At 39.4% G+C, this 18,092-nt stretch overlaps 2 annotated features.

Annotated features, from left to right (window-relative positions):
* Positions 511-871: a transcriptional cis regulatory region, noted in NCBI's record as "candidate enhancer chr5.1766 targeted for multiplex CRISPR interference". NCBI's record gives its function as "positively regulates ENC1 gene expression with high confidence in K562 cells {active_cell/tissue: K562}" and the evidence as "EXISTENCE:mutant phenotype evidence [ECO:0000015][PMID:30612741]".
* Positions 2,750-3,044: a silencer, noted in NCBI's record as "tiled region #12094; HepG2 Repressive non-DNase unmatched - State 23:Low". NCBI's record gives its function as "represses a minimal TATA promoter and a strong SV40 promoter by Sharpr-MPRA in HepG2 cells {active_cell/tissue: HepG2}" and the evidence as "EXISTENCE:reporter gene assay evidence [ECO:0000049][PMID:27701403]".

An 18,092-nucleotide genomic window follows, 5' to 3' on the forward strand; every position in this document is an offset into this window, starting at 1 on the left:
AAAGAAGAAGAAAAAGAAAGTAAAGGAATGAAAGAATGGCTACTCCATAGACAGAGCAACCCTGAGGGCAGCTTGTTGCCCATTTTTATGGTTATTTCATGACGATATGCTAAACAAGGGGTGGATTATTCATGCTGCCCCTTTTTAGACCATATAGGGAACTTCCTGATGTTGCCATGGCATTTGTAAACTGTCAGGGTGCTGGTGGGAGTGTAGCAGTGAGGACGACCAGAGGTCACTCTCATCGCCATCTTGCTTTTGGTGGGTTTTGGCTGGCTTCTTTACTGCAAACTGTTTTATCAGCAAGGTCTTTATAACCTGTATTTTGTGCCGACCTCCTGTCTCATCCTGTGACTTAGAATGCCTTAACCATCTGGGAATGCAGCCCAGGAGGTCTCAGCTTCATTTTACCCATTCAAGATGGAGTTGCTCTGGTTCACATGCCTCTGACAGAAGCAGCACCCAGAAGTGAACTCTAAGGCAGACGTCTTCAAAGAGAGCTACTCACATCCCCGCGGTCCGCAGACTTACGGAGGACCATACGCTAAGTGGATCATTCTAAGGGAATCAGTGTCTAGATCCTCAACTTCTGTATGGTGTCTTTTCTAAAACTGTCTAATAAACATAATCACACTTGAAAAAAAAAAAAAGTCATACCCTTAACCTATCCCATATCTTTCTGTAGCAGGGTAATGAGTCATCAAAGTCCCTTAACCCCACAGACTTCCTGTCTTTCCCCATCATCTTGGCTCTTTCTGTTAGGATGAGCCTTGATCTTTTTTGGAGGTAATGAATTCAAAATAATCAACCGCCATACAGATTTGTGGCATTGATTATTTAATGTTCCTGGAACGTTTCCTACAATTATCAACTTTTTAAAAATAAAACCCACAGGTAAAATTATTTATATTTGAATTCATTCTGATTCAGTGTTTCAGAAAGATACTTAAAATCTATTTTATCAAATCTATCATATTTATTTCCGCTATAGTCAGCTCTAATCTTATTTCAAATTATAATATGGTTAATGTTTTCTACCTTCTATTAACAGAGAGTGAACGTCTTTAAATCCATGATGAAAAATTTTAGTTGTTAACTTAAATATTCACGAGGGAACACGTAGTTTTTGAAAAGTCTTTTGGGAGTACCCACACAAACATGTTTGAAGAAACACAATTTCCTTGGAATGTCAGTAGGACTTTGGTAGGGAAACAACATGGCAGAAGGGTGATGGGGCAGGTTTCGGTGGTAACTTAAATTTGAGAAATGCTACATTTCAGTTGAACAGAACTTGGATCCCTTAAGATGCTCATGGACATTAAGATTCTTTCAAGAGGGGGATTTATAGTATTCAGTTTCTCCTGAGTTTTGACCACAGGAGAAGGGCAGCACCAAGGGGTAACTTGAGAGTGTCTTATACCTCCCCTCAGTAATCTCCATTTGCTACGACCACTCCCCATGAAAATAAACTAAGTACAGAATCTTACTATAAACTTGAGCTTCAAGCAGTGTGTGCTGGAGCCTGCTCATACAGACTCACACCAACCTAGGCACAATTGACAATCAAATGTCTCTTCAGAAACACGTTCTGGAGCAACATTTTTTTTTTTTTTTTGAGACGGAGTCTTGCTCTGCCTCCCAGGCTGGAGTGCATGGGCACTATCTCGCCTCACTGCAACCTGCACCTCCCGGGCTCAAGCGATTCTCATGCCTCAGCCTCCCAAGTAGCTGGGATTACAGGTCCACCACCACCACTCCCAGCCAGTTTTTGTATTTTTAGTAGAGACAGGGTTTCCCCATGTTGGCCAGCCGGTCTCAAACTCCTGACCTCAGGTGATCCACCTGCCTCAGCCTCCAAAGTGCTGGGATTACAGGTGTGAGCCACTTCACCCAGCCTGAAGCAACATTTCTCTTTTGTTTATTTGTTTGAGACGCAGTCACTTTGTTGCCCAGGCTGGAGTGCCATGGCACCATCTCGGCTCACTGCAACCTCCGCCTCCCAGATTCAAGCGATTCTTGTGCCTCAGCCTCCCGGGTAGCTCAGATTACAGCTGTGTGCCACCATGCCCAGCTAATTTTTTGTGTTTTTAGTAGAGACGGGTTTCACTGTGTTGGCCAGCCTGGTCTTGAACTCCTGACCTTGTGATCTGCCCACCTCAGCCTCCCAAAGTGCTGGGATTACAGGTATGAGCCACCGTGCCCGGCCGTTTCTCAATATCATTTTGTATGAATACACACAGCTTCTGTTCATAGATCATTTCTGATTTGGGCTTTACAAATGGCATATTCTTCACACCATAACTGTGTAGAAAGAAGCCAGTAGGCTAAAGGCATGAGGCAGAAGTTGAGACAAACCCTGTGATAAAGAACTTCCTGTATCATCAATTCATGCTACAGATCAAATCCTATCACCCATGTATATACCACGTGGTATACCTCCCCAGCGCAACCCAGAATGCTTACAAGTATTGTCTTTCCCCTTCTTGAACAAGATTCTAAAAGTATGCTTGTTGTCCATATAATACCCCTAAAACACCTCTCATTTAATTAATTCTCTGGAAAAACAAAAGATGTCTTTTCAATTCCAAAATTAATAAAATTTCTCATTTGATTTCAATTTAACAAGATGACCTATTGATTGACTGAATCTTTGACTTTTCAACTGAGCATTTTGCCTTTGTGTTTGCCAATGACATATGTCATTGTGCGAAATGGAAAGGCCATCTGGCAAGAACTGCTCTGCTAGATGAAGAATGCTGGTATTCTTACAGCACTGATGCTCAGTATTGAACTATGTTGAATGCTATAAAAATGAAAGCTTCTCCAACAAAAAATGTCCTTCAGAGGCAAGCTTTGTATCTCCCCGTCACATCTGTGCTTTCTCTGCGTGATGACGAGTGATTCTAACATAGCCTTCCTTTGCCCTCAGAGTCCCCACAGAGCAATGTAAAGGAATTGGGTAATTCTCTTATGTAGGGTAAGCAACATATAATTTCAGAAATGAAATGGGAGTCTCTTTTTAAAAGGCAATGCAATTGCCTATTAACTTTCTTTAATTACAACACATCATTACATTATTTTGTAATTACATATTTTCTAAGCCATCTGTTTTGTCTGCTTGACAGAGAGCCCTCCAAGGGCAAGGATTGCTTGTGTCTTATCTTCATATCCCCAATGGCACAGAGACGGACTTGAAGTAGGCAGTCAGTAAGTATTTGTTAAATGAGTGAATGAAAAATGGAATGAATGCATTCAGGATTTGAATCCCTATCTTCTCCTGGACACAGTGATCTGGTCAATCCAAGAACCATCTTAACAGTATCTTTTGGTCAAACTAGTTGCTATGACTTGTCTGCACAACAGTGTAACAGGAAACAACTGACATATCTCTGTCTTAGAAATCTGCTCTGCCCTATATTCTCTGAATAGTTTGACTAAAACGTATTGCCCATTCAATTTTGGAGCTGTTCCAGGTTTAGATTTTCTTTTATACTTTGATATTTAAGTTTCCTACTTTCCAAAATACTAAATACTTCATTTTTCTGATGATGATGACTGCTTTTAAATTTACATTTCTCCCCTGTTCATCTTCTCTGCCACTTTTAAAACACACTAATCCTTTCTGTCTATATTTTCTGATATTGTTCCAGTTAAATTTCTTCTTTGGAAAATAAAAATATCTTTTTTGTTTCCTTTATTTCTTTCCTGTAATTTGTTCCCAAGGCCTCGAGTCTAAAAGCTGTCTTTGACCCTTGAACTTATGCTGAGTTCCCATAGCCACTTCCTCAGCTGGCCTGCCTGGCGCTATCTCTAAAACATTCCTAGAATTGCTCCTTGCTGAGACCGAAACCCATGTGCTCACCTTAATCTCAACTTATCTTGACTTCCAATTTTTCCATATATGGTCCTCATACCTCCCTATTGTCTGAAGGTCCACAGAGGAAATCTGTTCCACATCAAGAAGTATATATATATATACATATATATTACTTTCTTGGTTGTTCTCTTCTCCTCTGGCATTTTGGAACTTTCCTGGGCTAACTTCTATCCTCAAATCTGATATTGGTCTTCAAATTATTTCATTTGAGCCAGTGATCACATGTAGAAGCTTGTGTTTTATTTTGTTTTGTTTTTCCACTGGCTCTGCTACTCACAGGATAAAAAGTTGGAGACAAGGTATTGAACTTGACTCAGTGAGTAGAAAGCAGGGATTTAAAATACTTGGCATATGTCCTGCTTTGGAGTGCAGCTCTAAGAATGAATGAGTCTAAAACCACAGCAAAGAATTTATTATTATAGATCTCTATTAGCAGTACTATCACTTTACTGATGATGGTAATGGAGCTCATAATAATATAAAGAAACGCATTAGCAAACATGGAATCTCAGAAAGACTCTATTACATAGTCTTTAAGAATTACCTGGGCTGGGCTCAGTGGCTCACACCTATATTCTCAGCACTTTGGGAGGCTAAGATGGGAGGATTGCTTGAGGCCAGGAGTTCAAGACCAGCCCGGGGAACATAGAAAGACCCTATTTGTACAATAATAATAATAAATTAATAATTAATTTTAAAATAAGAATTACCTGGCCAGGCGTGGTGGCTCTTGCCTGTAATCAATCCCAGCACTTTGGGAGGCCGAGGCGGGCGGATCACGAGGTCAGGAGATCGAGACCATCCTGGCTAACACGGTGAAACCCCGTCTCTACTAAAAATACAAAAAATCAGCCAGGCCTGGTGGCAGGCGCCTGTAGTCCCAGCTACTTGGGAGGCTGAGGCAGGAGAATGGTGTGAACCAGGGAGGTGGGGCTTGCAGTGAGCCAAGACTGTGCCACTGCACTCCAGCCTGGGCAACAGAGCAAGACTCTGTCAAAAAAAAAAAAAAAAAAAAAAAAAAAAAAAAAAAGTACCTGCCCACAGTGCTACCTCCCTTCTCTAAATCACACTGGATTTTTTCATGACTATCAAACTGCCCAGCGATTAATTGTTCTCTTACCATTTCCTGTGGATTATCTTTGCCCCTGATGAGACCCATGGAAACAAGACCTATGGAGTCCAGCTCTAAGGATGAATAAGTGTAAAACCATAGCAGAGAATTTATTATTATGGATCTCTATTAGCAGTACTATAATTTTACTGATGATGGCAATGGAACTCATAATAATATAAAGAAATGCATTAGCAAACATGGAAGCTCAGAAAGGCTCTATCTTTCTCTTGCACTCTGCAGTACCAGCTTGAGGACAAGTCACATAATAAGCTCACAAGAATACTTTTTGATTGGTGATGAAATTTCATCCTGATGATTCTCTTTATCATAGTGAATAAAGAATGGTTTATGGCTTCTAATAAGATTGCAAAGTTGAAAAATCACTAAGTTCAATTACATCTCTAGGAAAGAATTGCTCTGAGCCTTCCCAAAGCCCTGAACACAGTCCCCAGCAATCCCTGTGCACTTACGGCTGAATTTCCTGCATATTTCCCTGCTCTGGCTAGTCTCCTGCCATGGGAGCCGATGCAGAACAGCACCACCTCTCTTTTTAACTCGCCCACCTTTCCTGACCACATTCCTCTCGGCCTCCTCACGTTTGTAGGTCAAACCCTGGAAAGGCCACATTTATCAGAGACAATTGACTCAAAAGGCATAAAGACCCCCCACAGCCACTCACTGCTGTACTAGCCCCTTAGTCCTCATTCCTCGTCTCTACTGCCAAAGAAAAGGAGAAATTCACATTTGTTAAGCCTCTGCTCTGGGCCAGGGACTCCTCTGTTAGGTTGTTTTACTGGATGTGTGTGTGTGTGTGTGTGTGTGTGTGTGTGTGTGTGTCTTCCCAACTATCTCTCTCCTCCCTTTATTACTCTTTTTGTACTTTCTTCTCTCTCCTTCTCTCTGCTAGAAGTAACTTTGGAACTGGTTTAAGATTGATGTGCTGGAAATGTATAACAAGCCAGATTTTCATGGTGTAATTAGTGCCGTCGTGGCTAATTTCTTTTTTTTTTTCTTCAAGATGGGGTTTCACTCTGGAGTGGCACGTGCCATCACACCTGGCTAATGTTTGTACTTTTTGTAGATATGGGGTTGTGCCATATCACCTAGGCTGGTCTCGAACTCCTGACCTCAAGTGATCTGCCCACTTTGGCCTCCCAAAGTGTTGAGATCACAGGCATGAGCCACTGCACCCGACCATGGCCAATTTCAAGTTACAAACATGGTCACTGAATGCAGACTGAGACGTGCACAATCCACTCCTGTCAGCAGGGTGGAGCGCCTCTGGTTTGGAGTAAGGGTAGGCAGCTCTGCAACTCAAAACTCTCTTTCCCCAGAGTTCTGTGAAACCAATTCATAAAGAATACATACAAATCTGGCTTCTTTCGGTGGGTGTAGGGGGCACAGCAGAGTTCAGTGGGGCATCTTACTTTAATTTTTTTTTTCAGGAATGGTCTTGTTCTGTTGCCCAGGCTGGAGTGCAGTGGTGCAATCACAGCTCACTGCAGCCTGGAACTCCTAGCCTCAAGCAATCCTCATGCCTCAGCCTCCTGAGTAGCTACAACTTACAGGCATGCACCACTACGCCTGGTTAATTTTTCATGGTTTGTTTTTTTTTTTTAATCAAATATTGGGTCTCGCTATGTTTTTGCCCACGCTTGTCTCAAACTCCTGGCCGCGAGCTATCCTCCCACCTTGGCCTTCCAAAGCGCTAGGATTACAGGCGTGAGCCACCGTGTCCAGCCATTACTTTTACATTTTGACTTGTGCCTCTTGTTATATGTGGAGGATCAATTATTTATCCACCACTGCCCAACGTTCATTACAGGAAAAAGGCTGCTCAGCTTGTGAAAAGCGTTTGCTCCAGTTTCTTTCATTTGAAGCATGCAAAGTAGTTTTAACAAATGGCACTTAATAAAAAATAAATGGTACCTTAAGACCGTTCATGCAGAGGACTTCCTGACAATGACTGGAAGTGCCAACTAGCCCATGAGCTAATTATCCTGTAAATTCCCTTTTCTTCCCCAGTGTGGAGGTGAGATCTAATTTGAAAGATTAAAATCTTTGCATGATTACAGTATATCATAATTGTTAAGCTCTATAGTTACATGCTCAATAGCTACTAAGTAAGTGCAAAGAATTACAAGGTGATTTGTGCCTGTAAGATAAATTCCAAGAATTTTGCTTCTAAAAAGGCAGGGAAGTGGAGGTGGCAGAATAAAAAATGTGCTAAGTGAAGTGATTTATTGTGAACTTTAGGAAAGGGAGACTTTGGGGTCTCAGGATTCATAGACAGGCCAAATCATAGAATGCCTTCACATGCATTTCTTAGGTTGTGCTAAACTTTACATAAAAGCACCACTCAAGTGGATGAAGTTGTCTAAGGAGTATTTAGATTGTACTTTGGGAAGGGTTCCAAATGTCTGCTATTCTCATAGTAGAGGAAACCACCAAAGTATATTTCCAACAACCTCAAGCACGAAAAGCCAAGTCCAATCTTCTTCAACTCAGTGCCAGAGAAATAATATGAATACACACACACACACACACGTATGTGAAATAAAAACAATAAAAATGTTAAAGAAGAAAGAAAAATAATAAAGCTTTTAGTAGTTATAGTTCCAACTCCACCACTACTTCGTTTTGTGCCAACAGTTCTTTGGTAGATCTTACTAATTCTTTAGTAGACTTCACACTGGAAAATTCATTCATTAAACAAATATTTATTCAGCACCTAGGGCATACCAGGCTCCTGTTCTTGGTACTGGGGACATGATTTAAAAAAAGATAGATTAAGAGCTCTGCTCTCTTTGAGCTCAGAGTCCAGCAGGAAGAAAGGTTTAAAAATTAAGTATTGGGCCAGGTGTGGTGGCATGTGCCTGTGGTCCCAGCTACTCCAGAGGCTGAAGTGGAAGGACCCCTTGAGTCCAGGAGGTCGAGGGTACAATGAGCCATGATTGAGCCACTGCACTCCAGCCTGGGCAACAGAGCAAGAGCCCGTCTAAATAAGTAAATAAAATAAGTACTAATTACAAGTCCTAGGAAGAAGAAGAACAGGGTGCTGTGAAAAGTGTAAAGGTCTATCCTGGTTTGGGAGTCAAGGAAAGCATGAATGAGAAAGTGACAATGCATAATTTGACCTAAGGATGAGTAGGCACTAGCCAGGAGAAAGGGAGAAGGGCAAAGCCAGGCCTTTCTCCAATCAAGCAATGCAAAAGGAGTTTCTAAAACTATTGTCTGGTAATGCCTTTCTCCTCCCATCCTTGAAGATCCTCAGACTAGTTTGCTCATTATAGCTAAGATCTCTTTAATTTTTCTAGCTGTAACTTCTGATGTTACTGATAGCTGTAGGCATAATTTTAAGAGGACAGGAAATATCAGATTTGATGAAATTGGGCCCTTAGGAAGACAGGCAATAATGAGTTTCTAGAAATTAATTCTCAGAATGGTCCAGGAGTGGCTTGAGAATCCAGTCTGTGCAGGTATCCAGGAGTCTGGCTTACTGACACAACATGGGGTAAATGGCGGCTCACTGGTGGTTGGTAAACAGAACCATCTCAGGCAACCAAAAAGGATACAAAGTGACAAACACAACTAGATAATTGTCCATTTTATACCTCATATTTAATTGTAATGACTCAGCTTAAACCATGTCAATGTCGAGAATTTTTGGAAAATTCACCCATTTCCCTTAAAGGTAGGATTTTTCATCTGACACCAGAATAGGAGCTGCACCATTCACTTATCTTAGCCTACTTAGTATGTTATTATTGGATAGGTTTTAAACCCATATGATTATGTCAATAAATGCAGAAAAAGTGTTTAATAAAATTCAACATCGCTTCATGATAAAAACCCTAAATATATGTAGAAGGAACATATCTCAACACAATAAACACATATGCGACAAACCCATAGCTAACATCGTACTGAGTGAAGAAAAGTTGAAAGCTTTTCCTCAAAGATCAGGAGCAAGACATGGATGTCCACTTTCACCACTTCTATTTAACACAGTACTAGACGTCTCGCCAGAGAAATTAGGCAAGAGAAAAAAATAAGGGGCATCCAAATTGAAAAGGAGGAAGTCGAATTATTCCTGTTTGCAGGCAACAAGATTTTATATATAGAAAACCCTGAAGACTCCACCAAAAGCCTATTAGAACTAATAAATGAATTATGATTTTAGAAGTAGGTTTTGTTCTATAAAGAAAATTAGAAAAGTAAGAAAAAAAAAGTACATCATTAGCCAAATAAAACCATAGCCTATTGTTGGATATAATTCTTTTCAGCCTTTTTTACACATTATTTTTGGGTTTTACTTTTTCTTCTTTTTAATATGACTGATTTAACTCCCCATACAACTGAATGATATTTTATTTTTACTTAACATTCCATCATAAACATTTTGCCTGTTGTGACATACCTTTTGTAAACATTATGTTAAATAATTGTACAATATTTCATGAAGTGAATATGTCATTGTTTGCCTCACCAGTCTTCTGTGGTGGGACATTTAGGGCCCCCATTAACATTCCTTTTAACTAGAAGTTTGTTTTGGTTTGTTTTGGTTTTGCTTTTTGAGACAGAGTCTCACTCTGTCGCCCAGGCTGGAGTACAGTGGTACCATCTTGGCTCACTGCAACCTCCACCTCTGGGTTCAAGCAACTCTCCTGCCTCAGCCTCCCAAGTAACTGGAACTATAGGCACACACCACCACACCCAGCTAGTTTTTTTATTTTTAGTAGAGATGGAGTTTCACCATCTTGACCAGGCTGGTCTCAAACTCCTGTACTCAGGTGATTCACCCACCTTGGCCTCCCAAAGTGCTAGGATTATGGGCATGAGCCACCATGCCCAGCCTTAACTAGAAGTTTTTTTAATCAGTGGGATTACTTTCATAGTAAGGACTCTTAGATGTTGCATAATTGGGTCGAAGGTATAAAACTTTTAAAGATTCCTAAAATGTATATAGTTCAAATTGTGTTTTCAAATAGTATATCAATTTATGCTCCCATTGACAATGTATGAAAGCACCCATCCTTGTCAGCTCGCTCTCTCTCTCACTTTCTCACCATTTACTAAGTGCAACTTTTACTAATTTCTTGGGCAAAAAAAAAAAAAAGAAAGAAAGGATGGTATTTTGTCTTAGTTTGTGCCTTACAAGGCTAACATTACCCTGATACCAAGACCAGACAAGTACACAACAAAAAAAGAAAACTGTAGGCCAATATCTCTGATGGACATAGATGCAAAAATCCTCCACAAAATACTAGCAAATCAAATCCAACAGCACGTTAAAAAGATCATTCACCACGATAAAGTGGGATTCATCCCGGGGATACAAGGATGGTTCAACATAAGTCAATAAACCTGATACATCACATTCAGAATGAGGGATAAAACCCATATGATTATCTCAACACATGCAGAAAAAGTGTTTAATAAGATTCAACATCCTTCATGATAAAAACCCTAATATGTGTAGAAGGAACATATCTCAACACAATAAACACATGTGACAAACCCATAGCTAACATCGTACTGAGTGAGGAAAAGTTGAAAGCTTTTCCTCAAAGATCAGGAGCAAGACACAGTACTAGAAGTCTTAGCCAGAGACATTAGGCAAGAGAAAAAAATAACGGACATCCAAATTGAGAAGGAGGAAGTTGAATTATTCCTGTTTGCAGGAAACATGATTTTATATATAGAAAACCCTGAAGACTCCACCAAAAGCCTGTTAGAACTAATAAATGAATTCAGTAAGGTTGCAGGATAACACTCGACATACAATTCCTAGTGCTATTTTATTTTTATGTAACATCCCATCAAAAATATTTTCCCCATTGTGACATAGCTTTTGTAAATATTATGTTTATGTTAAAATTCTGTGGCATCTGTTGAGAAGCAAGGAGAACAGGAAAAAATTAGTAGCATTTTAATATGCCAACAACAAACTATCTGTAAAAGAAATCAAGAAAGCAATCCCATTTATAAAAACTACAAATACAATAAAATGCATAGGAATAAATTTAACCAAGAAAGTTGTCTAATTTTTCTACAGTGAAAACTATAAAACACTGATTTTAAAAAATTGAACAGGACATTAATAAATGGAAAGCTATCCTGAGTTCATTGATTAGAAGAATTAATAATGTTAAAATATCCAAACTACCCAAAACTGTCTACCAATTTAATGCAATCTCTATCAAAACACCAAGGACATTTTTCACTGAAATAGAAAAAACAATCCTAAAATTTGCATGGAACCACAAAATATCCCAAACAGCCAAAGCGTTCTTGAGCAAAACAACATAGCTGAAGGCACCACCCTAACTGACTTTAAAATATACGACAAAACAGTACTAGGCAAAACAGCATGGTACTGGCAGAAAAACAGACACAGACCAATGCAACAAAATAGAGGACCCAGAAATAAATTCATGCATTTAAAGCTATCTGAGCTTTGACAAAGGCACCAAGAAAACACACTGAGGAAAGGAAGTGTCTTCAATAAATGGTGCTGGGAAAACTGGATCTCCACATGCAGAAGAATGAAACTAGACCCCAATTTCTTACCACTTACAAAAACCAAATCAAAACAGACTAAAGACTTAAATATAAGACCCCAAACTATGAAACTACTAAAAGAAAACATAGGGGAAATACTTCATGACATTGATCTGGGTAATAATTTTTTTAATCAGACCTCAAAAGCACAGGTGACAAAAGTGAAATAGACAAGCAGGATTACATCAAACTGAAAAGCTTCTGCACAGCAAAGGAAACAATCCGCAGAGTGGTGAGGCAATCAACAGAATGGGAGAAAATATTCACAAACTATGCACCTAAAAAGGGATTACTATCCAGAATATGTAAGAAAGTCAAAAAACTCAATAGCAAAAAAAAAAAAAAAAAATCTAACTTTAAAATGGACAAAAGACTGACATTTCTCAAAAGAAGTTATACAAATGGCCAACAGGTTATGAAAAAGTACTCAATATCACTAAGCATTGGGGAAATGCAAACCAAAACCACAATGAGATATCATCTCACCCCAGTTAGAATGGCTACTATCAAAAAGACAAAAAATAAACAAATGTTACGAGGATGTGGATAAAGGGGAACTTGTACACTGTGGTGGGAATGTAAATTTGTATAGCCATTACAGACAACAGTATGGAGTTCCTCAATAAGTTAACAATAAAACTACCATATGAACCAACAATCCCACCACTGGGTGTATATCCAAAGGAAAGGAAATCAGTGTGTGGAAGAGGTATCTGCATTCCCATGTTTATTGCAGCACTAATCACAATAGCCAAGATATGGAATCACCCTAAGTGTCCATCAATGGATGAATGTATTAAAAAATTGTGGTATATATGCACAACAGAATACTATTCAGCCATAAAAAGAATGAAATCCTTTATTTGAGACAACATGCATAAATGTAGAAGACATTAAGTAAAATAAGCCAAGCACAGAAGAGCAAATACCACATGATTTCATTTATGTGGAATCTTAAAAAGTTGATCTCATAGAAGTAGGGAGTAGAGGCTGGGTGCGGTGGCTCACGCATGTAATCCCAGCAATTTGGGAGGCCGAGGCAGGTGGATCACCTGAGGTCAAGAGTTCCAGACCAGTCTGGCGAACATGGTGAAACCCCGTCTCAACTAAAAATACAAAAATTAGCCAGGCATGGTGGCAGGCGCCTGTAATCCCAGCTACTGGGGAGGCTGAGGCAGGAAAATCATTTGAACCCAGGAGGTGGAATTGCAGTGAGACGAGATTGCACCATTGCACTCCAGCCTAGGTGACAGAGATTCTGTCTCAAAAAAAAAAAGTAGAGAGTAGAACAGTGGTTACCAGAGGAAAAAAAGAAGGGAGATGAGGAGAGGTTGGTGAAGAGGTACAAAGTTACAGTTAGATATGAGAAATAAGTTCTGGTGTGATATTGCACAGTAGGGTGACTATAGTAAATAACAATGTATTGCATATTTTCAAAATACCTAGAAGAGAGGATTTTGAATGTTCCCACCAGAAAGAAATAATAAACATTTGAGATAACGGATATGCTAATTACCCTGACTGATTGTCATAACAGTGTATATATGCATCAAAATACCACAATGTACCCCATAAATATGTACAATTATAATGTGTCAATTAAAAACAAAATAGGGCTGGGCACGATGGCTCACACTTGCAATGCCAACAATTTGGGAGGCTGAAGCAGGCGGATCACCTGAGGTCAGAAATTTGAGACCAGTGTGGCCAACATGGTGAGACTCCGTCTCTACTAAAAATACAAAAAAAATGGCCAGGCGTGGTGGCGGGCACTTGTAATCCCAGCTACTCAGGAGGCTGAGGCAGAAGAGTCACTTGAACCAGGGAGGTGGATATTGCAGTGAGCCAAGACAGCACCATTGCATTCCAGCCTAGGCAACAAGAGCAAAACTCCAGCTCAAAAAAAAAAAGAAGAAAGAAAAAAAAAAGAAAACGTTTCAAAAATAAAAAACTAAAAACGATAGTATTTTAATTTGCATTTCTGTGAAATTGACAATTTTCATGTGTTTAATTAGATTGATTTTCTCTTTAATATTCATGTTCCTTTTTATTTTCAATTAGCCCACTGTTATCATTTAAAAAAATTTTTCAGCCAGGCGCAGTGGTTCACGCCTGTAATCCCAGCACTTTGGGAGGCCGAGGAGGGTAAATCACTCGAGGTCAGAAGTTCGAGACCAACCTGGCCAACATAGCAAAACCCCATTTCTATTAAAAATATAAAAATTAGCCAGGAGTGGTGGCGCACGCCTGGATTCCCAGCTATTTGGGAGGCTGAGGCAGGAGAATTACGTGAACCCAGGAGGCAGAGGTTGCAGTGAGCTGAGATCGTGCCATTGCATTCCAACATGGATGACAAGAGCGAAACTCCATCTCAAAAAGAAAAAGAAAAAAAAACTCAGTTTTTGCTTTAAAATATTTTAATATAGAGAACCATTTATGTTAATTCTGACCTGTGACCATCACACAAATAATACAACTTTCATTTGAGATACTTATTTAAATACAACTCATTTTTATCTCAAATTAACTCAACCACTCTAAAACTGACCACAATGTACCCTTTTACTGGACATATAGTCTTTCCTTGCTTATGTTCTTATAGCTTGCCTCTTTTCTTTTCTATATGTATGTTTTTTATGTACAGTCATACACTGCATATTGATGTTTCAGTCAGCAACAGACCGCATATACAATGGTGGTAGTATAAGATTGTAACACTGTATTTTTACTATACCTTTTTTATGTTTAGATACACAAATTGTGTTCCAATTTTGCCTACAGTAACATGCTATACAGGCTTGTAGCCTAGGAGCAATAGGCTATACCATACACCCTAGCTATGTAGTAGGGTATACCATTCAGATTTGCGCAAATACTCTCTATGATGTTTGCACAATGACAAAATCGCTCAGCGACACATTTCTCAGAAAGTATTTCCGTTGTTAAGTGATGCATGACTGTGTATATAAAAGTACATATACAATCATAATACACATGTATATACTTTTGTGTATATACTCCTATTCATACACATGTATATAAAGGAGACATACATGTGTGTGTATATATATGTATGTGTACCTATGTGCACATACATGCATACACAATGTGCAAACAGAGGCAAAAAGAGGAGATAAAATTGAATTTATTCCCTTTGGTTTAGTCACCAGCCCAAGAAAGTATTTGACGAAGTTATAGGTGTCAATTATACATATAGATGTCAAATATTCTTGTCCATAGAAGCATAGAAAATTAAAAACTGAATGTAAAATAAAAATATTAAGTAATGAGAACATTTTATTTAAAAAAAAAAAAAAAAAAAAAGCAGTCATGGGGCCGGGTGTGGTGGCTCACGCCTGTAATCCCAGCCCTTTGGGAGGCTGAGGCGGGTGGATCACCTGAGGTCAGGAGTTCAAGACCAGCCTGACCAACATGGTGAAACCCTGTCTCTACTAAAAATACAAAAAAATTAGCTGGGCATGGTGGCACATGCCTGTAACCCCAGCTACTCGGGAGGCTGAGGCAAGAGAATAGCTTGAACCTGGGAGGCAGAGGTTGCAATGAGCTTAGACGCGCCATTGCACTCCAACCTGGGCAGCAAGGACAAAACTCCATTTCAAAGAAAAAAAAAAAAGAAAAAAAAGCAGACATTTGGGTTTTTTTAAAGTAACTACTTGGAAGGTTGTACATTGATTTCACTGAAAACATTTTCTTAGAGTCCTCATTTGCAATTACCTTCAAAATTAGTTTCTGAGTCTCCTTTACTTTTATTCCAAACGATATTACTCTGGTTGACTATGATTTTTATTCATTTATTTTGATTTAACCTACTTTGGGAGGATTCCAATAGTAAAGTTTCTCTCATGTGAAGTACTAGAGAATTGCCACAATGTATCTGTCCATATTAGTACATATTCCTGAGAATCTAACAGAGGTTGGGAGGAGGTTTTATTTATTTATTTATTTATTTATTTATTTATTGAGACATAGTTTCACTCTTGTTGCCCAGGCTGGAGTGCAATGGCGCTATCTCAGCTTACTGCAACCTCTGCCTCCCTGATTCAAGCAATTCTTCTCCCTCAGCCTCCTGAGTAGCTGGGATTACAGGCATGAGCCATCATGCCAAACTAATTTTGTATTTTTAGTGCAGACGGGGTTTCACCATGTTGGTCAGGCTGATCTTGAACTCCCGACCTCAGGTGATCCACTCACCTCGGCCTCCCAAAGTGCTGGCATTACAGGCATGATCCACCGCGCCCAGCCAATAGGAGGTTTTAGAATACAAATATAAGACATCTGAAGGTGCTGACTTCCAAGGAGTCCAGGTTCATCTGCATATGTTGGTTTCAGTGGGCCTCTCCATCACGTCAGCAAGTGTGCCATGCATAACCTATACCACCAAATGTGATGGCCCTGCTTCTTGAATGTGCACTTGAAAAATCTTTGAAAATCTTGAGTCCTTACTCAGATTTGCTTTTATTTTCCAGAAACTCAGAAAAGTTGTGTAAAATCAAAATTAAACTGAAATTAGTGTAGGAGAGAGAGAGAGAGATCACCTCCACGTCCATCACCCCCACTCTCTCTTAGCTCTCATGTGAGCTCTTTGGCTGTGTCTAGGAACCAAACTGACGTAAGAAAGATGAGCAAGAGAAAAGCATATACATTTTTGTTTTGCGGGGATTTTTTGCTTGTTTGTCTTTGTTTTTAGGGTCTCACTATATTGCCCAGGCTGGTCTCAAACTCCTACAATCTAACAATCCTCCTGTCTTAGCCTCACAAGTAGCTGGGATTACAGGCATGAGCCAGCCACAACCAGCCAAGTTTCATTAGTTTTACATGTACCGGGGGTCTCCACTTTAAGAGTGAAGTCCGAAGAAATGGCCAAAGCAAGATGCTTTTATACTTTTTAGACAAAGAACAATAAATTTGTGAAGAAATGACAGGACAAAGGGGAACTGGCCAGGGACATAAATTCTAGGGGAGTCCCTAGGAGATATATGGCAGAGTATAAAAGCAGTAGATGATAAGGGTTACTTTGGGAAGTTTACTTATTTGGGTCCATTGCAGCCCTAATTCCCAGTCTTCTGGTGATAAGGTCTATTTTCTTGCTCTGGTACAGGAAAGGCCCCCCTCCTGGAGTAATCTTTATGGCTGGCTGCATGCAAGAACAGACAGGTCAGCAAGCCCTTTCTGAAACTATAATTTCTCCAACATTTTCAACTCAAAATAATGAATATAACAATGCAGCATATTTTGGGATGGCATATCCTTCACTACTTTATTAGTAAGACTTCACTATATCAGATTTAACAAGGTTTTGTTAAATGATCTGTGTACCCACAATTTTGAGCACCACATTTTCTGATGAAATATGAATTAGTGAAGTCTACAAAGGTATAATACCACAATTTAGAACATTATCATGTGGCGATCCTTTGAGTATAGAATGGTGTTTATGTCAATATTAATTCTGAAAATTCCTAAGATGCCCATTTTCTGAGGTGAAATCAGCAATGTGATTGATTATTCATTTAAAAAACACTCGGGCATCTCAGCAACCATGAACTAATGTCTTTGGTAGATCAATAATTTTTTCACTCCAATCACAAGAAGAAATCCAGAGCATCAGAAAAGTCATCAGTAAAAACATTAAAAGATATGTGCCAGCTGTTTCTGGCAGAGTGTTGAAGAGGGGATGGAGCAAAACAATAAGAAATGTTTGCCATATGTTGGAAAATGAGGGGTAATGGAAAATATTCATAAACAAAGACTAACACTTGTCTGTATGTTATTCAGGTGCAGAGATAAAGCACATCCATCTTCAGTGACTCTTCTGAATGCAAATGACTCTAAGGCTCAGGCAGTCATTTCCAGAGTCTTGAAATCCCTTATGCAGTCTGAACCATCATTGGTGTCAGTTTTGCCTGCATAAGCACTTTAAGATGAAATCCTAACCTCTGAATTAGCATAAAACATTCTGTATAAAAATCATTCACATTAGAGGCTCTCTGTCAATTTTTGAACTGGCATTGCTATTGTCTTGTATTTTAAATCAGTTTAGAAATCTTTCCCCTTCTCTAATTCGTTTCCTTCGTTCTCAGTCTGACATTCCTCATCATTCCTGTCAGGTGGGTTACATCTGCTGTATTTGCTGGAGCCTACAGAGATTGGGGTGGGGGGAAAGAAAATATGGAATTTGCCCAACTAATGTGGTTCAAATCAAGCTCACGAGAAACCATTTTCCCTGCTTATATTTACACAGGTATGATAGATTTATTTCCCCCAGGAGTCCTCTGTTTTCTCCTGAAATTTGACCATGTGTGACTCATTTGTCTGTATGTTATTCAGCTGCACAGATAAAATACATCCATCTCTTCTAAATGCAAATTCTCAGCAAGAGTAAGCCGAGTAAGCTTTGTCACAGCAAGAAGCAAGAGGGCAGACATAGTGGACAAGAAAAACCCTACCGAGTAAAGGATCTCAAGATGCACACAGCTGTTCCCAAATGTTAGTCAGTGAATGAGGCAGTCATTGATG

The sequence above is a fragment of the Homo sapiens genome, chromosome 5 (genome assembly GCF_000001405.40).
Source record: "Homo sapiens chromosome 5, GRCh38.p14 Primary Assembly".
NCBI classification, from domain to species: domain Eukaryota; kingdom Metazoa; phylum Chordata; class Mammalia; order Primates; family Hominidae; genus Homo; species Homo sapiens.